This window comes from Homo sapiens, chromosome 3 (assembly GCF_000001405.40).
Source record: "Homo sapiens chromosome 3, GRCh38.p14 Primary Assembly".
NCBI lineage: Eukaryota > Metazoa > Chordata > Mammalia > Primates > Hominidae > Homo > Homo sapiens.
This window is the reverse complement of record NC_000003.12, coordinates 182,482,282-182,509,079: the sequence shown is the minus strand read 5'-3', so window position 1 is coordinate 182,509,079 and position 26,798 is coordinate 182,482,282. Positions and strand designations below refer to the sequence as shown.

The window sequence follows — 26,798 nt, the reverse complement described above, 5'->3', positions numbered from 1 at the left end:
CCTCCAAGCCAAGAGCACTTCATATAATCCTCTCATGCAATTCACACTGTAATTGCAGAAACCCCAACTGCTAGGGCTCATATTATTATTATTATTACAATTATTATTGTTGTTGTTTTTCACTGATAACAACATCTTCTGCAAACAGGAAACTGTCATGTTAATTAGTTTTTGTGTAAGATGAGTTGCTTCTCTGGAAGTAAGATTTTTTTTTTTTTTGCTCTGAGCCCTGTCCCCTGGCCCCCTCCAGCTCTAACCCCCTTGAAGGCCACTCAGGGAGTAGCACATGTGGAACTTTTATGTGGTTCTATAGAGCCTTTTATTACCCTGTGGGCCTCATCCTCTTCTTAAGAAAGAGGCCGGCGGTTAGGTGCTGGCAATGAAAATTATTTTCTTGAACACCAGCTTGTTTTCTCAAGGTTCTGCTTATTCCTTTGGTAATTATGAGACTAAAAGGTCTTTTTTCTTTTTTTTTGTTTTATCCATGAGTGCTTTAGACTATGGAACAATCATTTCATGGTTTTGAGGAAGAAAGGGAGAGGCATAAAAATATGGGGAGATTCTATTTTTTTCATGACATTAAAAATGCTTAGACAATTAGTAAAAAATACTGATTTTAAAAAATCTGATATTTTGAGAGCCAGAAAATATCTAAACTATTACTGCCGCCTGTGCTAATTTGTAATTTTCATCTACAACTTTGGCCTTTTCATTATTTATCAAAATCCAGCTATTTGTAACCACTGTCATGATTTTTATCACAGCTACATGCTACAAATACCTAAACTGTTGTTTAAATAGTATTTTCTTTATACGGACTTTCCTTTTAAATATAATCTACTTGCAAAAGAAATTAATTGCTACAAAAATATCACGTCTATAAATGGTACACAAATGCAATTTACCATAAAGACAAAGTAACTACAAAAATTAAATAAATGCAAGCAATTGATGTTACATTATTTCGTGTTACAGGTGTTGTAAACTGTAGGAAAGGTATTTCGTGTTACAGGTGTTGTAAAGTGTAGGAAAGGCGTTCAAGATGAGCACTGAGACTCTGTTCTTACCGTGATCAGAAGGACTGAAAGAGAACTGAAAAGAGAACGACTCTCTCACTTTGTGGACCAGTGGCATTTAATGCCATGCCAGTGTACCACTGCATACTGCTCTCCTCCTGGGGCATGTCCCCACACAGTGCAGGTCCTGCACTTTGGGAAACATAGTCCACTGTGTTGTTTGTGGCTTAGGTGGCCAAAAGTCCACCATGAATATTTGGCTCTAGAATGGCTATTTATTTTTTAAAGTTGGCTCATGATGTGTATGAACTATGTATTTCTAGTAAGAGAGAGACAAAAACAATTGCTCATACAGGAGAATTGGGGTCTAGTCGTAGATTAGTCAAATACCGAGCATACCAAAGTTCTAAAAGAATATCAAGGGGAAACCGAGGAGAAACAAGTTCTAGGATCCAAATGGCAATAATGGGAACTAAAACTGGGAGTCAAAATGGGATCAAAAATCTGGAGAAAGTGAAATATAGTCAGAAATGGATTGAGATGGATATTCCAGAAAAAAAAGCATTTGTGATCAGAGCTGAGATATCTGAGATTTTCATGTAGTAGCAGGTGATGTGCGAGAGAGAATGGCTGGGTAAAACACTGGGTAAAATCAGAGTAGAGAAAGAAGAGCAATTCTTAGCTAATTATTGTGAGTCATAAAACACAACGGCTGAGAACTCCTCAGCTCACCTCCATACACCCACCCCCACATGCAATATAGAGGTAAAAGGGTTGGTAAACCTCACAGTTTTTCTTAATCATAAATAAAACATTTTCTAAATATTTATGTCCCCAAACCTTCCACAAGCCCATTGTGACTTCACTATGTAAATCTTTCCAGTCATTCTTAATGGTTATATGGTGTTTATCTCCCCATGACACTCCTCCCACCATGTTATTCAGCCTTCAGATGGAAGGGACAGCCTTGAAGATGCATAAGTAAGCTAGAAAATGTTTCTTCAGTAGAAATTTCAGTAGAAACTTGGTAAAATGATCTCTTTACAACTTCCATGATTTTATTCTCCAGGACAATATGGCAGGATGGTGAGTGCTGATGTGTTTCTTTAGGCCTGTATCTGTTCTGTGGTTGGCTGGTTAATGGCAGTTTCTAAAGTTGATGAAGCTTATTATTATTATTATTATTATTATTATTATTTTGAGACAGAGTCTTGCTCTGTCATCCAGGCTGGAGTGCAGTGGCATGATCTCAGCTCACTGCAACCTCCGCCTCCTGGGTTCAAGTGATTCTCCTGCCTCAGCCTTCCGAGTAGCTGGGATTACAGGCACGTACCACCATGCCTGGCTAATTTGTGTATTTTTTAATAGAGACAGGGTTTCACCATGTTGGCCAGGCTGGTCTTGAACTCCTGACCTCAGGTGATCTGCCCTCCTTGGCCTCCCAAAGTGCTGGGATTATAGGGAGGAGCCACCACGCCCAGCCTGATGAAGCTTATTAAAGATAACTTTTATGATCAATGTGTCTGTTTATATTGGTAAGTGAAGATGATCCTAGCATTGTTCTAAGTACTCTGACAGATAGAAAAGAAACCTACTTAGGCTAGGCATGGTGGCTCAAGCCTGTAATCCCAGCACTTTGGGAGGCCGAGGTGGGTGGATTGCCTGAGGTCAGGAGTTCGAGACCAGCCTGACCAACATGGTGAAACCCCGACTCTACTAAATACAAAAAATCAGCCGGGTGTGGTGGTGCATGCCTGTAATCCCAGCTACTCGGGAGGCTGAGGCAGGAGAATCGCTTCGACCTGAGAGGTGGAGTTTGCAATGAGCTGAGATTGAGCCATTGCACTCCAGCCTGGCAATAAGAGCAAAACTCTGTCTCAAAAAGCAAACAAACAAACAAAAGAAACCTACTTAACAAATACTTAACTGAGGACTTACTATGTGAAAGGCTCTGTGGTGGGGGTACAAGCACGTAGTCTATTGCAATGATATTTGATGAAAACTCTGATAAGGGTAAGTACTGGAACTTCATAGAACACATGAGCAGGCCCCTAACCAAATCTTCTAAAGTCAGGACACGCTTCCACATAGGCTGAGAACTTAAGGCCAAAACAGGAATCAGTGAGGGGGAGTCTAAAGGGAGAAGTTCAGGGAAGGAGAGGACCCCTGAAGGCCTGGAGGTGAAGGTGTGTGTGGGGAGTTTCGAGAACTTTAAGTAGCTCACCATGGCTGCAGGTTGGGAGGTAGGTGGAGAGCAGAGGCAGAAACTGAAGCTGAAGAAGGACGGGACTTGAAGGCCACGTGAAGTAGTTTAGAGTTGATGCTGAGTGAAACAGAGAGCTAATGAAGGAGTTAAGATGCCGGACTGAAATCTGGGAAGAAAGGCTGCCCTGGAGAGGCGCGAGAGGAGGTGGAAATGTAGGTGATGGCACAGAGGGGAGGGTGAAGCATGATGAGGAATCTGACCAATTGAGCCTGAGGGTGCTTGCAGGGTGGGTCACTCTGGGCCAGCTGGACAGGCAGTAACCTCGCAGTGATCTCCAGGGACCAATGGCAAAAATGCAGGTCATCACCATCTTAGCAGAGAGGACTGTCCTATAGGCTGAGCACCATGATATTGGCTTGGGGGTGAGATCATGCAGGGGAGTCGGGTAAGAAGTATGGAAGCCCTTTGGGTTTTGATCAAAGAGAGTATTTTTTGAAGATTTTTGATCAAAGACAGTATTTTTTTGGGCAACATTTGGCTAAGTGAGCTGAGTTCTTTCCTATTATAAATGTCCAGTATGCTTCATGAACCTGTTTTACTTTGACAATGAGCCTGTAACGTTAAGGGGAGCATCAGTTCTCACCATCTGGTAATGGTATTAATAAAAGATAACATTAATGAGGTATGGTATCTCCTTTGGAGCAATCGCTGTGCTGAGCACTTGACATGTATTATCTCATTTTTCCTTCCCCAAACTCAATGAGGTCTTGTTATTATTATCTGTATTTTACAGATGAGAGTACTGAGGCTTGGAGAAGGTAAATAACACCATAACTATGTGACAGAGGTAGGATTTCAACCGAGGGTTGATTCCAGAGCCTGAGCTAGAAATCAAACTGCTATAGTTAAGGATGTATTGGACACTGAGTCTAAGGATTAACTGTGTACAAATTAGACATTTTTAGAATGCACAAACACAAACAATTAAAAGTCTTTTGGTTTCTTTCTGCATCTTCCTCTTGGAATTTTGCTGCAGGAAAAAGGTTTGATTAATAAGGGTTATGACTACTTGTTTCAAATTAAACTTGGTTTTACTGAACATGCAAAAGCAACAGGAAATACAAGTAGGATTTTTTTCCCCAGGTTTTGATACTTAAACTTTTGGAGGATTAAATTTGCGAAAACAGTAAGTAGGCTTTTATTTTTACATTTCACATATGGAGGCCATGCACTTTCACAATCCTTAAACTGGAAAAGATTCACAGAGTTAATCTACCCGAATCATTTAGTAGCCATTCCCCTTACTGAAAAACAAAATGTCACCAGAATTATTACAACATCCAAATAGTGAAAAGAGTTTACAGATCAAAAGCCTAATCTAACTCCTTTATTTTACACATGAGGAAGCTGAGGACCAAAGCAGCTACAGGACTGACCTGCCCAAAACCACACAGTGAGTCTGCAGCCCGGCTTCGGACCAGAGTTTCTTCTGACAAGCGGCAAGCTCACTGATGGCCACACCCGCTCATCCTGGATAACAGTATTCCCCAGTGGAATTAACACGATGCATCTTCCTGGAGTATCATTTTTACTTTAAGATTTAAAAGCAAGCAAGCAAATTAAATAGTCATTTAAATCATATTTATATTAAGCCTAACATGGCCATATTGTAGAGCAAACCATCGGGATTTAATAAACAAAACAGGAAACTTCAAAGAATGCTTTTTCTTGGAAAGAAGGCAGGAGAGCAAGAAAAGCGACTGCCTCAGCCTTTATCACGTGCGTCTTGTGGTTTAAATGTATTCTCTCTCCTTTAGAGATTTTCCAGAGGGCAAGTTTTTTTTTGTTTTTGTTTTTGTTTTTTTTTTGAGACACTCTGGGATCTGTTAGAAGTGTGACGGACAATAGTGAACTATCAATTAATAACATTGTTCATGACTATGCTGTTAAATAACTTTGAGAGATGTCAGAAACATGCCTTGCAGTTTCCATTAATGTATAATTTAAAATTGTCTAAATACATGTTAACAGATCCTTTAATACAATAGATTTTAACTTTTTATCTTAGAAATTTATTTTTTGAGCTAATATTAATAGATAATGTACTCGATTAGTAGTGTGTCACACGAATAAATGCATTTTGCATTCATTCAAGGTTATCTTTAAAATGATGTGAGTAATCTGTTTCATGCCCACAAGTACTATGAATGCTAACACTTCATTCTTAACTCATCTAGTTGTCATTAGGTACAGCAGCTGATACAATCTTCCATTAGACAGTCTCAGAACTGTGGGTGGTCTTGGAAACTATACCATATGAACTATAATACACAATAGAGTGAGTTGGGGAATTTTTTTAGCTTTAATTCTGAATCATGAAGCTCCTATTGGTTGAAATTGAGCAAAATAATAAAAAGGATCTTACTCTAGCATCAACTATACTGATGTGTTAGAGCAAAGTTCCTTATATCCTCTTTGCTACTTAAAGAATTTAAATTTGCCACAGTTATTTATTTATTTTTTTCAATTTAAATTGTTTATTTACCTAGCTAAAGGACCTGAAATAGCAGTGCTAGCAAACAGGGTGCACAGTTGACTGTTCACATTTTTAAAAAGCTAAATGCTCATAAAATAAGATATTGAAGAGAAAACAATAATGCATTTTAACTATGCTTTTGATTGAACCAGCACTGAGTACATGTCACTGGGACATTTTGGAAGTAAACTATGCAATTCACATCAATACCAAATTGGCTGTGCTCACTGTGGTGTTATTATAAAGGGAGTTAACTCATAATGTTTGGAAACTCGACGTCACTTTAAAGGTCTGAAACTTCAGTGTTATATATTTTTTAAAATTTCTTTATAAAAATACCTTTAAGTGCCTTAGATGTAATAAACACTCAGTAAGTAGCTATTGATTTAATTTCCACCAGAAACATACTGCATTGGAAGTCAGAATAGAAGTAAAATGCAAAGCAAATTATCAATTTGATATTTACTAGGTGGGTATGGAAGCAAGTGACATGTATGGTTTTGGCAATTCAAGAAAGATATATCTGCCCACAGAACTCTACACAAGTAATCATTTGCTAATCTCAAGAGAAATATTCTTTAAAAAACAAATCCTTTTGTGTATGCTTATGAAGATTAAAAAATCTTTCAAAACTTCATTGAAATGACAAGCAAACTATCATTTCTGTAAATGAGCTACAAATGTATGATTTTACAATTAGAAAAATATTTAAATGAGAAATCTGCAACCACAAAGAAGTTTAGACTGAAACAGTGCTACTTTTTTTTTTTCCTGGCATAGATAGATGATCCCCTAGTCTTTTTCACCATAGTCTGGAGTCCTTGTAAAGAAACCACACACAAGTTATTCTCTGGGCAGAAGCATTTTAGCTTCCAACTTTAATTTTTTTGTTCAACAGGCAGATAGTTTAAAAAGTCTTCTCTCCCATCTTACTCTGTTTCTTAAAATCCTTCACATCTTAAAAGGATAGAATTATAGTGCTGTTCATTTTGTACCTTCCATCCTACCTGCTAAGTTGGTTTTGTTTTTTAATAACCTAGGCCTAATTATTAAAAATTCAGTTGCTCTCCTTCCTTTCCCTCTCTCTCTCTCTCTGTCTGTCCCTCTCTTCTTCCTTTCTTCCTTCCTCCTTCTCCAAGTCCCTCTTGTCCTCCCCACTCCCCCCTTGTCCCCTTTAGAAGCCCCTGGGATGACACTGTTCATTGATGCATCTCCCTCATTAGCATTGCTGCAGCTTGGCTCAGTGGTTTCAGAGGCAATCCGTCATGAGAAAACTGAAGAATGTGCCCCATTTGCATGATTCTGTGCCAGAATGCAACTTTTTCTCAGCTGTTCTTTGTGTAATTTCCCCTTGAGCGTTCAACTTTCCCATGAAGTCCTAGAAATCATATTACAGATTTCCAACCCAATTGAAATGCTTTACAGATTAGTTTTACATACTTGCTTCCTTCCCCCCAAAACTTCGTAGTTCTTCATAAACAGAGCAAATTAGTACATAAAAAACAGGTTTAGCCTTTTATCGTTTGAAGTGTAGGGCACATTAAATGAATAATTTTGCTTTGAAAATGCAGGGGTTCATATTATATGTGCAAATATATATTTATTACACTTGTCCAAATGAGGTCACAACACTACTAAATACTTAGGCAATTTCTGCTTTCTAGTCACTTAGTGCCACTTGCAAACCACATTTTGTAAGCCACCATGGAACTCAGAGCAAAACATAGCAAAAAGGTGGATGAAATGCTCACTGTTTCTTTAATAAGGAGAGCTTCCCACGTAAGTCAAGATCTGTTTTGCAGTTCTTGGGTGAACCCATTTTAATAAAAGAATGAATTCATAGCTAACTAGCTGCTAATTAAATAAGTATTCTCACAGCATTTTTTCTAGATAGAAAATGACAACTAAAACAACTGTGAGATATGCAATCTGTTACCAAGATTTCCGTTTTCCAGAAATTAAGATAAATGTAATATGGTATATACACAAAACACTACATTCCAGAAGAGAAAACATTCCATTAAAGAATGTTTATCACATTACATCTGAATTAACAAGAAGAACCCAACTTATTTACACACACACACACACACACAACAAACACACACACACTCCGTAGCCCTTTTTAACGACGTTATTCTTCTCAGTATTATTATACACAAATTGATAGTCTTTTTATTCCCTTTTGACTTTTGGGTGCAGTCAGTAGTAAGAATAAACCATTTCTTCTTCTTATTCTCATTCTAAACACTGTAGAATAAATTATTTAAAAAATTACTTTTTGACCATTGGTTGGAAAGTAACCATAAAATAGCGAAGATATTCTAAAAGTGTTTTAATTATAACTACTTAAAATTTTAAATGACTTCATAATCTTTGGGAAGGAGAAGATGAATTTAGAATGAGAAGGCTGAAAAGACCAAACTTAAAACCTACTGAGTATCAAACAGAATTAAAATAACTTAAAGATAATTCCCTGTACTAACAGAAAAAAAATAAAGCTCTTAAAATACAAAAATTTGGTCGTTGAAGAGCCGCTCACACGGTGATTAGAATTAGGTTGCAGAAGATTTCATTAATTATAGGTGACTGATTTTCCCTGGGCAGACAGCTCAGGTCTCCCGGCCCCCTCCGTCCACCCCCTCCCCAGCTCATCTCAAACTGTTGTCTAACCTTTCCCTTAATCCATCTCATCTTGAGCTGATGGGAACTGCTTTCATTCTACCTCTTGTGGAGGTAATGAAACAATCTTCTTATTCACTTGGTTCCTCTGAGCCGGTGACATGCAACAACAACAAAAAAAAGCGAGCGCCCTGATTAATGGCTGCTAATTAGCAATGTTAATGACCAGGTGTCCGAGAGTACGGCCAGCTCCTCTCAGCATGGAGTGATCGCTCAATGAGGGCCCTGCAAATCCATTCCCAGTGACCCTTCCCCTCAGCTGCCAGTAATGAAGCCCGCTTGCTCGTTACTCCCGGGAGAGGCGCAGGAGGAGACCTGGGCCTGGGACCCAAACCCTTGCCTGGGGTCTAGTAGGTCTTCCATTAATTAAGGTTAGCATTTCTGGCCCCCCAAAAGCTCAAAGGTAGAGGAGTGAGGAACAGGGAGATGTACTCAAACCCTCTTTTGTCCAGAGGAGATTCTTTTTCTAAATGGAGCCAGTAATTAATTTTAACCGTTTACATGTACATCTGTAATTTTGACTATGTGCTAGCTATACATATCATCTTCTCAATCAGATTCTTTTATTATCCCGAGATGATTCACATGGGTGAAGCAAATCTCATATTAGCTTTCAAATACAACTTTTCATCTGTGAGGTTTACATGCTTTTTTTACCATTCAGCACAGATTACCTAATGACAGCAGAAACTCGGTGCGCCTAGAGGCGTGCTTAAAAAAATAATAGTAATCTTTGAAAATATTTTTTCTAGTTAGAAGGTAGGTTAAGTATGTAAGTGCTCTTATCTCTCATATTGGAGTAAGGGAATTATAATAACTTTTAAAACAAAACGACAAAACAAAAACAAGCTTTTCACAGAGCTTTATAGAGAATCGGCTCTATAAAGACCTGAAGAATTATTTTACTAATTAGAGTTGGTTCCTTTTTGGAATGCTGACCAGAAAATTGAAAAGTGACAGGACTGAAGTCTTTGTAGATAACTAACCATTAATTGTATTTGCCAATTTGTGACAGGCTGATTCTGTCTGAGTTTACACAATCATTTACTTTCCCCTCACTGGAGAATGGCCTTGTACTTCCTCCAAGCAAAGGGAGTGGGGATTCAGTTTGGAAGAAACAAACTGAAATGGAAGAAAGTATGCTATACCATTGTTTTTGTTTTAGCACATTCTTTCTTTTTAATGTATATGTCTCAGGTTGGGATAATACCGTGGCGGATTTAGAAATACTATATATATACACTATATATATATATATGCATATATATATATGCACACACATATATATCTTACTTGCTGAAAGGTCGTATGTTTGATATCATTGTGATAAGTTTCTGTTAATGACATTTTTGATACATGTGTAATTTATTTTGGTAGAATGTGTTATTGTAAAAATTGCCAACTATTCGTAGGTGATGAAATACCACCCATAACTGCACTTAATAGCAGAGTTTGAAAAATTGTGGTTACTACTTTGCTCTGGGCTAATAGGTCCGAGTAAAATTTGACAAGAAAAGCTTCAGAGCTTTACTTCCAAGTGTGGACAGGTCAAGCAATATCATCTCCTAGACCACAGAGGAGGAAGAGGCTGCCTAGATAGGCGTCTGGCTCCTCTTTCATTGGAGCCCACCTTCTGTTGCAGTAATATTTGATGTAGATTTCTGGGGAGAGGGATACAATTTTTCTCCCCATCATTAAATGATTTAGTACATTTTCTTTGTAGGAAATTTAGAAAACATTGAAAAGCATATGCATACATGTTCACATGTATTCACACATGCACACACAGCACCCACAATCCTAAACAGAACTATATCCATTGCCAACATGTTGTCATATATTCTGGCTATCTTTTTTTGTGCATACATACGTTTTTGCTTTTAACCGAAATTGTATCATACTGCAGATAATGCTTTGTAAATTGCTTTATAAAGTTAACAATCCGACCATAACTTGTCATGAAATATTCTTCTACAATAGCATATTATGGCAGCCTCTACTAAGAGCCATGAGTCTCCATTGACCATGAATGGTTAATGACGATTTCTAGAGTGACTACAGAGCCACATTACTGTGATGGCCCCAGTGCTAAAGGGAAGGACACAGGCTCCATCCTGGCCAGTTCCTCCCTACCCGGTGAACTTTGAGAGTTTGTAGAGGATTGAGTCATATCCCTCCATTAGCTTAGATCCTGCTTCTTTCTCTTCTTTCTACAGTCTCCAGACCAGTGCCAAGGAGCCAAAGAGAAGAAATGAGAATAACCAAGGTATGCTGTGTCCAATTAATTAACTATTAGCAAACAAAGGACCAAACAATGTGACTGTAAGCTTCATGACAGCAGGGAGTTTGTATATCTTTTCACCTGTGTATCGGCAGTACCTAGCACCATACCTGGCACATTGTAGATAATATATATTTGTGGAATAAATGAATGAATGAACAATTAAAAAATACATTTGACTGTTTCCTAGTTTGCATTTTCTTGAGTGGCAGAGAGAGTAATGGACTTTTAGTTAGTGCCCTTGGAATGCCCGCAGGGACGTATCTCCAGAAGGAACTCATTCTCTTGCATTGGAAGTAGCACACATGAGCAGATACATGGTTTTATACTTCTAGCCAGAATGCATGAAAACCCTGAGATCTATCTGTCTTCTGCTCCTGTGTGGCTAGTCCTGCCTGCTCCTCAATTTGGTCAAAAGAGAAAAACAAAAAACAAAAACAAACAAACAAACAAAATTTTGAGTCCCAAGGTCCTTAATTTGAACTTGCAATTAAAGTGCATTATAAATTAAATCTGGCAATTTAAATAATTAAATATTTTACTTATCTCTTTTTTCCTTTTTTATAGGTTTATGAAACCTATATAAAAACCTATGAAACCTACACAGTCTGTGGATGGAATGTGTACTACTCTAGGAAATGAATAAATACGTTATCAATAGCAGGGGAATCAGTTGCACTTAACGTGACTCAAAGTTAGGAAGTGTAGGGTTAAAAAAATGTAGGGTTCATTGGATTTTTTCTTTCCTTTTTAAATTTAAAAACTTCAAGTTACCCTGGGAAAAATGACCAAGAAATAGTAGAAAATAACCACTTTGCTTCAAAAGATGTTTTGTAGCAATTAGCCAAAGAAGAAGCCGTATCCTCTGCAAGACATCCTCCTGTGTTGTGTGCAGTAGGGATGGCTGTTCCTTGACCCCTCTCACTCACCTACCTCTGGCGCTTTGTTCAGGGGGCAGAGGCAGAGCGAGACCCTTTTGGTAAATTTATCCTGTTGGAATAGCAAATGGAGAATGCTGTAATGCATTCACCCTTTCCTCTATCCATCCATCAATCATTGTATTAATCAATCGATTGAAAAGCCTGTTTAAGCATCTCTCTACAGCCTATTATCCACACTGAGTCAAAGAAACATGGCTTCTATGCTTTGCAGTTTGTAGTTTAAGAGAAAACAACAATGGAGGTAGGCACGGAGGATAAATAGACAACAGGTAAAACACTGAACAAGTATGTGAAATGAAAAGAATGATAATATTAACATTGTCAATCAATTAACAGGTAGTTATGCTGTGGTAATTACATGCTCAGCACTGGGTTTGGGTGTTCTCCAAGTTAAATAGCTAAAAATCAGGAAGAATTTTTTTTTTTTTATTAATTACAGTTTTAAGTTGAGAAACTAAAGAAGTTTACTTTCCACTCTGCATAAAGCCTTGTGGAGGCAATAGGATGGGAATGAAAGGAGGTTGTGTGTTCCCACTTTGGTACTTGTTGAAAAGAATAAAATAGCTATGATGGGAGAGTGAACAAGTGATGGTTGAGACACTTGGATAACTTTAAAATCACAAAAGTGCAGAGTTGGAATGGGCCTGAAAAATCATTTTTTCAATGCTTCCCACGGTACCTAAAAATTGAGGCAAATTCAGAGGTTTGTTTTGTGGAGAATAAGATGTTGGTCAAGTAGGCATGAGAGGAGCCTGCTAAGGGACACAGAAGGAGACACAGGAAGTGAGGCCTTCCTTGGATGTCATCCTGACCCCGAAGAGGCCTTCAAAGCTGCTCCAAAGGGTCTTGTTCCTTAGTTGTAGCCCATTTAAGAAGGCCCTAGAGGAGAATAGGGTTGATGTAATGAAAACCCATAGTGAGATGATCTCTTCAGTAACAACAAGAGGCTGGAATTCAGTGAAGAAATTGTATTAATCCAGGCAAATGGTGCCCAAAGCCTGTATTTTGGATGTTTCACTCCTCTAACATGCATCAGGAAAAAACAAAATCCTTATTACCTGCTTAGGACTACTAAATTCCAAATCTTAATCAAAGTTTGCTGACGTTGATATCCCAGCTTAATATATAATTAACCCATTTTTGAAATCTGGATAAAAGGTAAAGTGAATCCTTTTGGACAGACTGGGCTAGCTGTGGAAACTAAACCGAATGATCATAACATCATTTCAAAATATCTAAGGAGTGAAGAAATCAAATCTTTGTTGACTATCAACCCATAGTAGTCACTGTGCTAAGCACTCCAACGTTGCCTAATTAATCCTTATCATCCTCAAAATAAAGTAGTATTATCCACAGATTACAGACTCGGAGGCTTAAAAAGTCAAGTAACTGGACCCAAATCCCACATAAAGTCACTGAGTGATAAGGAGTGGGTCTTATGACAACAAGCCACTGCTTTGCCACAGCACCATGCTGTCTCACATAATTTGGACATGTTTTTTCTTTTAGGGATAGATTATCTCAGAGTTGGGCGAAATCAATATTTCTCACCCATGCAGTCCCCCAACCACCAATTCACTGGGCATACAGGTTATAATGGTTGGGTGGATGTGTGGTTCTTCCTGTTTTTGGTACAATCATGACATATCATTTGGATATCGTTGTGCATATCCAGAAAGTCTTTATGCTCAGGATATGGTAAGAAGCCAAGTTGGCTAAAATTTTTGAAGCATCAAAAAGAAGTTTTTCTCACCAGAGAGGATAAAACTCCAGAAAAGTACTGAGGCTGCTGGTAAAGTATCTTAGACCCCCATCCTGCCCTTCTGAAATCAAGTTCCAATTTTAGGGGTGCTGATGTGTCCATCTGTACTCCTCAAGTTTTTCACCGTAGACCTGGGACTATGATTTACTGCTCACATTTGTCCTGAGGTTGTGTCTCGCGACCCCTATGACCATGTCCTTGAAGACTTTGGAAGAGACTGCACTTCTCTTTCCATGATACATGAACATTTCTTCTACCACCTTTAAAAAACGTAATTGCGAGGGGTTTTCAGTGTAAAGAAGATCTCCTGGAAGTCCCCAACTATTTGAGATTGGTTCCATATAATGAAGATATTGATGCCAGATCACAAGGTGATTGGAACAGAGGCTCTCAATGATTGCTTTTTGATGAGCAAGCAACAAGAAGCTGCTGGATCGTAGCGCACCATCTGGGGGAGCTTGTACATATGAGCTCTCCATGACCATGGCTGCTGGGGACCTCACATGCAGCTCTAGGAGTGTGAGAGTGTCCTGAGGATTCTCTTAGTTTCTTGCTGTTTGAGAGACACTCAGACATTTTCAGGGGTCTCTGACAAAAAGCAACATCATATTTCCACTCAAGACTGAAAGTTACAGTGGAGCAAGTGGAAACCTTGAGGGGGTAGTGCTTTTAATTTTGAAATCTAAAAAGAGCTAAAAGGTTCTTTCTGCTGTGTGTCTGGCCATTCTAAGAGCCATTCTGCCCAAATAATACCAATTTAACGGAGGGTAGGGAGATAGGAAAACTAATAGAAATTGCGCTAAACTAGGATCTTTATAATGATTGCATTTTTCCTAGGTGAGAGGTATTATTCTTTCTATTTTACATATTAAGAAACTGAGGATCTGGAAAATGAGATGTCACAGAGTTGGTAAGGGGTAAAACCACATATTCAAGTCTTGGTGTGACTGCGAAATCCTCCATAACAGTGCTGTTCAATATGATAATTATTAGCCATTATAGCCCTTTTTATTAAAATTAAAATTAAATTTAATAAAATATTCAATTCCTTAGTCAAACTTCAGGTGCTCATTAACTGCACGTGGCTGGTGACTAGTATTGAACAATGTAGATATAGAATATTTCCTCCATCAAAGAAAGCTCTGTTGGACAGTGCTTCTCTATAACCATGCTGAGAACTTTCTTTGGCAGAAGTATTTGTGGAAAATAACAGTAGTGAAACTCTTCTGCTATGTTAGTGAAGAATGGTGGAAGTAAAGGGAAAGATTGATGTACTTGGAAAATCTTTAACAAAGTAGTTTAGTTGTAGACACATAGTATTAACTAAGCCAATGGCAACGATAATAGTAATATCTAATTGTTCACTGCTTCTTATATGGTAGGTACTATTCTAAACTTTGTGCATATGAACTTATTTAATCCTCACAGCAATCCTACAAAGTAGATGCCATATGATCTCCATTTTGTAGATGAGGAAACTGAGGCACAGTGAAGTCAAGCAACTTCCTAAGGTTATCCAGATAAAGGAAAGTAAACCAGGATTGCAACCCAGATAGTCTGGCTTCAGATACTGGATGCATAACCATTATGTCATACAAGAATGTTTTACAGGCGTACATAGGGGAAAGTTTTGAGAGTAAGTTGGTGGTTAGAAATGGAGGTATAAAAAGCAATGCATTGTTTTTTAAAAACGGAATAACCTGAAAACCAAGCAATACTTCCTCTTGCATGCTGTCTGTGTGCATGTGTGCACAGTATGTTAAGTACATATTACATATAATTTTATATATATAAAATACATATTTTAAGTACATATATACACATACATACAAAATTTGTGTTTGTGTGTGTGTGTATGCATAGCAGTTTATGAGACCAAGTCAGATACAGTGTTGTTAATGGGAAGTAAATAAGATAAAAGGAGAGGATATTATAATTGGAAAGCAACAACTATTATATAATTATTGGTAAAATTTATTTTCTCTGCCTGCTTCAACCATAAGTAAAGGAGAAAAATATTGGTTAAGATGAAACCCGAATGAACTAATCTCATTGTTTTTGTAAATTTTCCAGTTTGCAAAGTAGGTTTAAAAGTTTTGCAAATGTTTCAGGAAAATTTTGGAAGAAGGACTTCAGGTTTGACTTGAACGATCAGAATTTAAATTCCTGTTATCTGTGTGTAAGGTGTGCACTTGGAAGTTAAGAATTCTTTTGTATCCACTTATCTAATTTAGCATTCCCAAATGATGTTCATTTGCCCATCCATCTTAGTTTTATCCTCACCGTTATCTTTACAAAGGATGATAATTTTTCACAACAAGTACCACGTGTGTGTTAGGGCCATTGCCATTTCAAGTGTTAAGAGTGGTTCTAGGCTCGGTGTGGCGGCTCACACCTGTAACCCCAGAACTTTGGGAGGCCGAGGCAGGTGGATCATTTGAGGTCAGACGTTTGAGACCAGCCTGGCCAATGTGGTGAAACCCCATTTCTACTAAAAATACAAAAAAAAAAAAAAAAAAATTAGCCAGGAGTGGTGGCACACACTTGTAATCCCGGCTACTGGGGAGGTTGAGGCATAAGAATCGCTTGAACCTGGGAGGTAGAGAGTGCAGTGAGCAGAGATTGCACCACTGCTGTCAGCCTGGGTGAGAGAGCAAGACTCTGGCTCACTAAAAAAAAAAAAAAAAAAAAAAAAGAGTGTGGTTTTATTGATATCATACTTGTTGGGTGGGTTAGTCCTGTGGATATAGCTTTTATTTTAAGTAAATACAGAAGTACTTAGAAAGTGCTAGCACTTATGCTTGTAATTTTTCAATTAGGAACAATAATATGTAAAACTAAATTAAATTTTCATCATTAACAAAGTCCTTTAGTTCTCAAGTGGAAACAATTTAAAACTCAGTTTATTTTGTAACATTTTTGCTGATGAGTAGTTTTTTTTTTAAGTATGGGAAACATGGCTTTTTTTTTTTTTAAATAGAAATACAACTAGTATTTTAAGTTCTGTTTAGTATAACTTTCTAAATTAAGATACTACCCATGAAAACAAAAGTCTCATTACCTTTCTGGTGACATCTAAGCGTCACCTTAACAAATTGGCGTGTGATATCAGACTACGTTACTATGACCATATATGAAAAATTCTCAACTTTGTAATGATTATAATCTTACCTGTCTTCCCTATCACTATGCCCGTTTTAAATACTTATTTTAAACCAAACGAAAAATCTTTATTATAGAGTGTTACAGAATGGAGGATTTTTAAAAGAATTATTCATAAAATTATCCATTTTTTTCTCAAGAAGATAAAGTGCACTGACTATTACGTACAGGAATTGGTGACTTGAATTTTATCTTTTTGAGCTGTAATTTCAATGTTGGAAACAACTTTAGAGATCATCTAACCCTTCCCTCTTAGAAGCTTTAGTAGACCGACCCCAACACTGCACACAGCTAAGACTTGAGCCTGGATTTTCTCTCTAGGAGTCATTAACCAACCAAAGCTCACCATTTTTTGTTCACTTTTTGATCAGATCTTGGACACATCAAATCTTGATTTAATAAACATTTAAACCACTTGAGAAATGGATTGCTGTTTTGCTTTGCTTAGCTGCTGCAATCAAATATGTACTGAGTCTCCTGTGCACATGATCCATGCAGCACTGTGCTGAGTCTATGAAACCACAGAACTGGAAGGGACCTTGGAGATTATCTAGTTCAATTGCCTTGGCTTTCAGATGGAGAAAATGAGAAGTGAACGGGTGTCACAGGGCCACACAGCTAGCCATCATCAGATCTGTGCCCCTATTCCAGATGGCCTGACCTCGAGTCTGGTCCTCCTATTACTATGCTATTTCCAGTGCAGTGTACAGTTCCGAGGGTATAGTCAGGTGTTCAAACAAGGATCCAAACATTGCTGAGGCCTATTGACTTTTGTTCCTGTTGCCTTATGGGTGGTTGGGACATTGACAAAGCATAAATATTTGCCAAAGAATCATGAATAAGCTCAGCTGGGAATCAACTTTGATATGCAAATGACAGAGGTGGTTATAAACATGAAAAAAAGTTTTTTTTTAAATTAAAAAAAAATAAGTGGTAAAGCACATGGGGTCAGGCAAGCCATTTAAGAAAATGGCCTTCTCCATGGCATCTCATTGCTCTGGGAATATTGCAGTGGAATGGGAGCTTTGATAATCTCTGTGAAGAATAATGGCAAGGGGAAAGAAGGCTGCTTGTCGACAGTAACCTACAGACAAATGAAAACCCGGGCTGTGTCCTGAGAGTTTTAGGTAATCCAGGCTCATAATTTGATTTGAGAAGAGCTACTCCAGGCTACTGTGTAATTATAGAAGCATTCACTCGGCTGGCTCCTGTTCGCCTCATCACGTTCTACTTCATTGCCCTTTATACTAAAGCCCCTGTTGATGAGAGGGCGGAAACAGTAAGTACAAATAAAGCAATTAGCAGGTGGGGAATGCTACCACTGTTTAAGGATAACATACAATCTTTATTGGTACTTATTAAGTAGAAGTCTAGAGCTTAGAGACAAAGGGAAATATCACAAGCCACAAAAATGAAAAGGAGTGTGGGAACAAAAAGAGAATGGGGAAAAATTATACCAACATTATCTACTTCATATTTCACAAATCTTATCCCAGATGCTGGTTTAAAAAATACTATTAAACCTCCAGTTTATTTATATTATAGTGAGTTACGTTCTCAACTAAAATTCACCTTGTAGTTTTCTTCCTTCTTCGGACCTACTCTTTTATGATGTGAATTAACTTGAAAAACATTTTAAACAGTTACTGTGTTCCATTGAGTTTTGAATCTGGGTTGTAGTTAAATCCGCCAGCAGAGGGAGTTAGGATAATTAACAAATCTTGGCAGGTCCTGACATTTAGAACGTAGATTCATAGGCACTGTTGGCAGCACTGAAAATGCCCACTGTAGATAAGGAATATAATGGGCAAAAGGAGGAAAGCAAGAGGATTTCAAGTGTTGTTGAAATCCCAGCACAGGATATTGAAGATGGACAAGAAAATAGGGCACAGGCTTTCTACCTCCATTTGCAGAGTAATCCACGCACTCTGATTCTTGGTTTACTTATCTGAAAGCAGGGATAATATAACTCTGTTCATCCAGAATGCTATAATTCTCATATATTGGCAGATAGCATTGCTCTTCATGCTCTAGCCTTATTTCTTCTGCCTGAGCACCAAGGTAGAGTATAAATAATTGCTGTGCTTCTCAGAGCAGCCACAAGAAGATGTCGCTTGTATCTGATTTGGGCCTAGTGCCTTTGTCCTTGCACGCCTTATTAATTAAAGCTCTGCTGTCAACTTCAGCTACCTAAACAGGATACAGTCTCCAATTTGAATAGATTTCCAAGCAGTCAACTTGAAAGAAAGGTATGGGAATTTGCAGAAAAATCAATATGTTTTTCCTTTGCCTTAGTAGCAGGAGGGTACTTTGGGCAGAGACGTGTACAGATACCTAGAAAGATAAAGTTTTACACTGGCAGTAGAAATTAATATTGCAAAATTAAATCTTTATCTTCACCCTAAAAAACTTAGCTTCTTTTAGGGAAAACTTCTGGTTCTCACTTCAGGTTTTACTCATTCCTTCTCTTTTTCATCCTCTATCACCTAGCAGCCACTTGAGGCAGACCCAGAGTGTCAAAAGTAAAATCTCTTGGACAATAATACTGAGAAAAATGTTTATTTCACCTTTGACCGAAATCACAGCACCTTCATGGGACATTATCTCAGTCAGATCAAATGTCTAAAGATGATTGTGACCAGGCCTTCCCAAGTATCATTCAAGGGAGGTGACTTATGTGGGCAAAGCAGGGAAGAACAGCTTCCAGAAGTATGCAAAATGCTTAGCACTTAGTGTTAACATCTTTGGTACCTTTTGATAGTGCTAGTAAATATATAAATATGCACATCACGAATTTTCTTTTGGAAAGTGTACATTATGTATTTAAAACAGATTTTATTTGAGGATCACCAATATGCTCATGAATTTTTATGATCCCAGTCCTATATGTCCAAAAACATTGAAATTCTCAAATGACAAATACTAAGCCATAATTTCATAAATATACAGAATTTTCATTTGTAGTCTCTCTCATTTCCATCATCATCCTCTTCATAATTGCCACTATCCACTGAATTTGTTTTAGTGCTTCATAGTTTTAAAGGTGTTTCATAGCCATGAACTTACTTAATTCTTAACAATCTGTGAATTTGACAGGTGATACAGTATGATTTTGCAAATAAAGAAACAGACACAGAGAAGCTCTGTGACCTACTTGGGGATGGCTCTGTCTGGGATAGTATTTAAGTGTCTAGGTCAGTTCGAATCGGGTCTCCATCTATTATCAAATGCAAGAAACTGGAAATAGTTTCAGTAACTATTCAGCTCTTGTGTATTATTAGTACTGAGTAAAAAAACAGAACAAAATATTCACACATACTCTTGTGCCTGGGAATCTTGGTAATTTAGAAATGTGGCAAGTGGTAGAACAGGATACAGAGAGTATAATTCACCTTTCTACCCCTCCCTTTCTCACCTCTGCGTCTTTCCTTTTGTGTCAGATTAAAAAATAAAGTAATGGGCAAACCTAGATGGTCGTGGTTGAGCAGAGAGACTTGTGATTGTAACTGCTTAAACCTGTGAACAAGACTTCAAAAATAATCCCTATAGATGCCTCTCTTCTCTAAGATCTCACCCCACTCTGGGGCACAAGAACTTGGTTGTACTTTTGGAAAGGCTGTCAAGAATTTTTCTGCTTTGGCAAACCCAGAGGTGCACCATTTCTGCTGTAGAGTTCATCTCCTCCAATGTAGACTCCTAGTAAATTATTTTTCATTACATATTGATACGTAGTTCGCCTTTGATCATTGCAATTTATATTTGATGACAAGGAACCTTTCCAAGAACATACTCATTGACAGTTTGAAGGGCTGAACAAATGTCTTTATTTTTATTTATTTATTTTTGAGATGGAGTCTTACTCTGTAGCTCAGGCTGGAGTGCAATGGCGTAATCTCGGCTCACTCCAACCTCCGCCTCCCGGGTTCAAGCGATTCTCATGCCTCAACTTCTGGAGTAGCTGGGACTACAGGTGCATGCCAGCATGCCTGGCTAATTTTTGTATTTTTATTTGTTTATTTTGAGGCAGAGTCTCACTCTGTCACCCAGGCTGGAGTGCAATGGCGAGATCTCAGCTCCCTGCAACCTCTGCCTCCTGGTTTCAAGCTATTCTCCTGCGTCAGCCTCTTGAGTAGCTGGGATTACAGGCGCGTGCCACCACGACTGGCTAATTTTTGTGCTTTTAGTAGAGACAGGGTTCCTCCATGTTGGCCAGGCTGGTCTCGAACTCCTGGCCTCAGGTAATCTGCCTGCCTCAGCCTTCCAAAGTGCTGGGATTACAGGCATTAGCCACCGCTCCTGGCCAAATGTCTTTATCTTTAAAACAAGCATTTCAGTCTACAGTATTTGTAAAGGACTGGGATTTGTTCTAATTAGATTTGTTCTCATGGAGGACAGCATTGTTTTTATTGGCTTGTGAATGTGACCGGAGATACTTGCAATCTACCTCATACATAGGTTCTGTAGTTCACAATGTCCCACCTGGATGACTTTTAGGCTTTGTTGTCCTCATGGTAGCCTGCCACCTCTTTGGGCCTGGCCTGTAGGAAGCCTAAGTGAATCATCTCCTCACAGAATCAAGAGTAGACCATAAATGATGATGAATGCTTCCAGGTTGCCTGGAGCCACTGCACCTGATGCCATTTGAAACTCCCGCAGGAAATACTGGTCATCTTATTCCAAGTGTCCTTGAAGCCAGTGGCAAATTCCTCTTGTTCACTCAAAAAGCATGCTTCCTGTTGTTTTTGGGTGGTCTTCCAAATACCGAGACCTGAGAATGTTTAACAGAGAAAATAAAGAGCATATTTTAAATTCTCAAGTAAAATACTCTCTGATTGGTAGAACTTGGTTTTGATAGCATAGTGTGGAAATAGCATGGCTGTTTATTTACTATGAGCATTTTGTGACAAACAGGCCTGATTCAGGGTATGATAGCACTACCCTTCACTCTCTGAAGCAGCCAATTTCTACCATCTGTTTAGGCCGGTTTCTGACTAAGCAAGTTGTTCCTTTTAGATCCTGTCTTCAAGGCAGTTTCTGATGGTAGACAGAGGACACATTTTTCTCTGCTCGTCCATATGTCAGTACAATCATTGGCTGCTCAGACACTCCAGGTTGGAGGTCTATATAAGTTACGCTCACCAGCCTTTCTGAACCAGATGCCAAGGACACACCCCAACTGGCTTGTAAAAGCAGTACATCTAATCACATAAAGCCTCTATAATGTGGTTTTTTAAATTAAGTGACCCACAGGATATTAATCTAGTGGTAACAACTCCCAAGGGATGTAGCACTGGCAAACACTTCAAGAGCTGCTAGTACTAGTATTAAATGTGATGTTCATTTTGTCTAAACATATGGAAATAAAAATAAGCCATGGGAGAACGTCAGTGCTGCACATGCTATATTGTTCATAAACCTGTCATAAATAAGTGTCTCTTAAAAAGAAACCAATTAATAAATGTGCATTGAATTGCAAGGCTTAAATATTCTATAATATGGGGTTTCTCCTCCCCGCACCCTCCACCAGCATTCCTATCCCTGCCAGGGCCCCCCCACCCCACCTCCTTGTTACTTAAGCTGTTATAACATTTTCCACTTTGTGGCCCATCTCGGTTTTGTTGTTGTTGATTGAGTTATTTGGTTGGCTCAGAGGCTTGAAAAAATAAAGAAAAAAAAATCTGTAAGCTATAAAATGCAGCTTGTTTCTTCCTTTGTCTGTGTGTTAGAGTCTGGCTTGGCACTAGAACCCCACCCCAAACCTCCCACCGAGAGTATGTCATATTTCTATATGCTCACGCATGTTCGGCTCTACCTCTTTTGAAATGATGCCCAAAGCCCAGCAATGTTTACATAAGTAAAAGGGAGTTTCACTTTTATGCTTTAATTTCTACATAGAGCAGAGAGTTTTCCTAGCCATACCTTATACTTTGTTCATAGGTGAACTTTTATTTTTCGAATGTGATGGTTTTATCCAGCTTTGACAACAGATTTCTTTAGGAGATTACACACCTGGAATTAACTTTTTCTGCCAAGAATTACAGTGCACCTGGAAGTACTAAATCATTTTTATCTATGTTTTAGAAGCTTTGTGTAGTGAAATTGCGTATCTCAATCTTGACTTGTCTCTTGAGGAGAAGCTTAAGGACTGGAGTCGGGTAGATATGTATATGCTGGTGCTATGGAGTAAATACATCCAGGGTGTGTTTACTTTTCACCAGCCAAATACTCACTACCTGAACACCATCTCCCTGAGTACCTCGCTTCTTAAATGACTCCGCTTACTGCATAACATATGGAAATGTGAGTATGCACTTTCAGCAGATTGTTTGCTATGTTTACACCAGTTCTAACACTAATCCCCATTAATGTTTCATATAGTCCCCAACAGGTTTCAGAAGATATCAGACACCATATCTACTGTGTGTGTGTTTGGCATGATACACACTTAAACAAGGGGAGTGATAAAGAAGGATTTTTAGAGATTTCTTTCCTAAAGATATTTGCTAACTAGATTAAATATTTTGAGAATGGGAAATACTTCCTATGCGTATGAATGACAGCAAAATATAACATCCTTTAATTTAAAAAATATACAGGGAGTTCATTATAAATAGCCATACCATTCCATTTGGAGACATATTACATTTTCTGTTGGACAAAGTCTTGTGAGGTACAACTGTAAGACTATCTTCAAGGGATTTAGGATTACAAGTCAGAAAAGTTATTACAAACTCATGCCTACACATTAGAAAGATAATATTGTGTGAGTATTAGAAATTACTTACATGATTTCTTGGGAGTGGGGAGGGAAGTGTTATAGGAAATTTAGATGAAAAAAGTCTTCAATCTTTAAGTTTTGCTATCAGCATTACAGCTCCTGTTTTTGTCATGAAACCAGGATATGCTCTCATTTTCCTGACATGAAGTAGTATTTCTAGAACAACAAACGCCTTTCATCCCTAGGCATCCTGAAGTTTGCCAAACTGGTTCTGCTTACTTGTCGAACAAGGATAATTTCTTCTCTTGGTTGTCTCTGATATAGTGTCAGCATTTTAAAGGCCAAAAGTTACCATAGTGACAAATTACTTGAGTATAAACATTTATTCTGTTTAGACAAAAATGCTGTAAGATTAAGAAAAGGATTAGAAAAATCGTGGATAAACCAACACATTTATTTTGATGGATTTCTTTCTTAGACAACATAAGAATGATATTATAAGTGATATTGTAAATAATGTTTAGTGAAAAAAGAGTACAGAAAAACAAAATATAGATACATTAAAATATATCTGCTATCAAATTCAAATATAAATAGTTGAATTTCACAAATTACTATTTTCTGTTACTGTAGTTTAATTTTACATGAATGTGACTAAATTCTGCCCTGGTTATAGATAAACTGATTATGTTCTTTAAGTAGTTCAAATTTCCTGATAACCAGTAGTCAAACTGAAGAACAAGCAGAATTAGTAGCCAAGTCTAATAAACGACTGGGAAAAATTGTATCTGTCTCATCCTCCTGGTTCCCACACACTCTAGTTACATCATTACTTAGCCTGTAAATTTGGAGGCCAATTGGGCTCCAGAGCTTGGGTCAGGTGACCAAAACATCAAAATGTGTCTGAAACTCTACCCTAAAGATGGGGTTTCAGCAGGGCCTCTGGATAGCTGACTCCTCTGCGGCTGCTGTGCAATTTTCGTATTTTATTTCACCTTTGCTTTCAGGCTTAGCTTTTGGTCCCACAGATTGATGGCTGAAGCAAACTCGTTGATTTGGGTTTTTCTGTGCAGGTGCATGGGCAAAATTATTTCCTGTACCACATACTACAATCAGTTATGTAATAGCTTAAAAGAAAACAAAAACAGAAACTAGACCTTTCTCTATGAATTGGTTTTCATCAGAGATCATTCTAACTCCTTGATTTTTGTTTCATCTTTTTTTTTTTGGTTTTGAAAACTATTTTGGATTTTGTTATATTTTAAAACATAATTTGATGTCTAAATCCACAAAACTTAAAAGCCAAGGTTATTAGAGCCACTGGATGCAACTCCCCATCGATGGAGCTGAAATACTCTGCTCCTCTTAAAAGGAGCGGAATGTGTAACTCTACCCCCTTGCTAAGGTTTCACAGGGCAAGTATAGTGATGACAACAACTACTTGTTTTCTGCAGATGTAGAAAGGCATTTTTTTTTTTTTTACATGTGCAGGAAGCAACAAAAAACCTGGTCTTTGGGGACAGGTGAGTGAGTTGCCTTGCAAGAAATAAACCAAATAATCCTTAAAGTTGCAGTAACATATACAGAACCAAAAGCTTGACACCTCTGTACACAAACCTATTTTCATGTTCAGATTTACATTTCTCTTGATTGCTACAGGAGGAGCTATGATAGTTTCTGGCTGGGAATTTGTTTCAATATAGTAAAATCCATCAGAAATGAAAAATATCCTTGATAAATTGTTATCAGGTATTTAACAATGCTTTCAGGAAGCAGGGATGATGCACTAAAGAAGGAGAAAACTCAGGTGAAAACCAATCTTGTTAAAAACCAAGGCAAACAAACAAACAAACAAACAACAACAACAACAAAGAAAAACCAAGGCAAACAAACAAAACAAATTGTCCTTCTTCTTGGATCAAATAATTGCATGAACTCTATTCCGTGACTTACACAACAAACATTAGTATGTACTAATTACCATGCTACAGGATAGGGATACAAAGAAAGTAATGAGATATGATAACAACGATAATGATAATAGCAGCTACCATTTATGTAGTGCTCACGGCATACCACACTATACTGAGCACTCTACATTTATCCTAATCCTCACATTAATTCGAGAAGTTAATTATTGCATTTTACAGAAGGAGAAACTGAGGATCAAAGAAGATAAATGATTTGCTCACGATCATGCTTCGGTTATGTGGTGAGCCATAGAGATAGAATTTCAGTCTACATTGGATTTAATCTAGGAACTCTGTTCATAACTGTTCTCCCACATTTTCTAGAGATTGAATAGAGATACAAGTCTTTCTTTGTCCTTAGGAGGTTTTTACTCCCCGTGGTGGGGTAAACTAGATGAAGAAATAATTGACATTACTCATGTTAAAATATCAACAGGACTAAGTGCTTTAGGAAAGTCAAAGTTTCAGAAAAGAAGTGGTTTGGACCAGAACTTTTCTGAGGAACCCTGTGTCTATGGCATTGGAGCAGGGAAGAGTGTAGGTGGTAGATTAATGTTTGATTATCTTTTCCCCTGCAGGTAATCCTTTGGAAATAACTGATTTCTAGTTTTATTCTGCAAAACTATCACTGAGAGTGCTGTGTAAGACAGAGCAAACTCCTGTCCTCACAGGTGACTGCCAAATAAAGTAACTAGGTACTCACGTATTTTCCAGTACAAGTACTTCATTTTTAATTCATGGTCCAGGTCCTCTGTACATGCTGTTACTAATATTAGGTTTCAGCAGAGAATAATGAACAGGAACACAGGCCTGAATGTCTTAACATTTTTTAAACGACGTCTGCAGTGCGAAATTCTATTTCTGGCTTAATTGGAGTCTTTACATAAACAAGAGGAGGGCTCTGCAGTGTTGGGGAGGCATAATAGTCCCACAGCTTAGCAACAGAAAAGATAAGAGTCAGCATGATTCGGAACTGGTAGAAGGTTAATGCAGGCAGGCTTTTCCCCCTTAGGTCTCAGCATAGTATTCTTAAATTAGACAAGAAAAGGAGAGGTTTTCTGAGTTAGGATTCTAACTAGAAAGCCTAGATCAGCCCCTTGGAGTGAAGCTTTATTCCATCAGAAAAGGAGGGAGGAGGAGAACTTGCTCTGGTTGGGAAATAGTACTGTTCAAGTGGCCCCCAAGGCAGGGCTGACTTATCCATTAGGTGCAGCAGGCAGTGTTTATGGGGCCCGCGGTACTTTTAATGTTTTAATTACATTTAAAACAAAGAAGAAAAATGAATGGAATGATAATGAATATATGATGATGATGAATTCAGTTTGCTTTATATTCATCTTTATACCAGTAGAATTGTAAAGTATAACTTTTAATTATTTTTTGGAAGAAGGGATGACGGCAAAATGCCTGGAGCCCATGAAAGTCATCACGTGGTCCTGCCCCAAAGAGGCCATTTAAGCAAGTTAAATGACTTTAGTAGACAACCTGTTTTTTTTCCCTTACTAGTGTTTTCTCACTGTAGAT

General features: G+C 38.0%; 2 long non-coding RNA genes across 2 annotated transcripts in view, besides 1 other annotated feature; both read left to right on the top strand.

Moving 5' to 3' along the window:
* Window positions 1–1,955: 1,955 nt before the first annotated feature.
* Window positions 1,956–10,790, top strand: LINC01995 (long intergenic non-protein coding RNA 1995). Its single transcript, NR_134941.1, has 4 exons — window positions 1,956–1,997; window positions 4,366–4,408; window positions 4,626–5,001; window positions 10,657–10,790. It is a non-coding gene; the product is annotated as a long intergenic non-protein coding RNA 1995 (long non-coding RNA).
* Window positions 8,199–9,016: an enhancer, noted in NCBI's record as "OCT4-NANOG hESC enhancer chr3:182217852-182218669 (GRCh37/hg19 assembly coordinates)". NCBI's record gives its function as "activates a minimal SCP1, AML or CMV promoter by ChIP-STARR-seq in naive and primed H9 embryonic stem cells {active_cell/tissue: H9 hESC(naive and primed)}" and the evidence as "EXISTENCE:reporter gene assay evidence [ECO:0000049][PMID:30033119]".
* Window positions 10,791–22,717: 11,927 nt separating the features above from the next.
* Window positions 22,718–26,798, top strand: part of LINC01994 (long intergenic non-protein coding RNA 1994) — a 39,393-nt gene continuing 35,312 nt past the window's right edge. The window contains exon 1 of the long non-coding RNA NR_040105.1: window positions 22,718–22,886. This is a non-coding gene — a long non-coding RNA (long intergenic non-protein coding RNA 1994). The remainder of the gene's footprint in view (window positions 22,887–26,798) is intronic.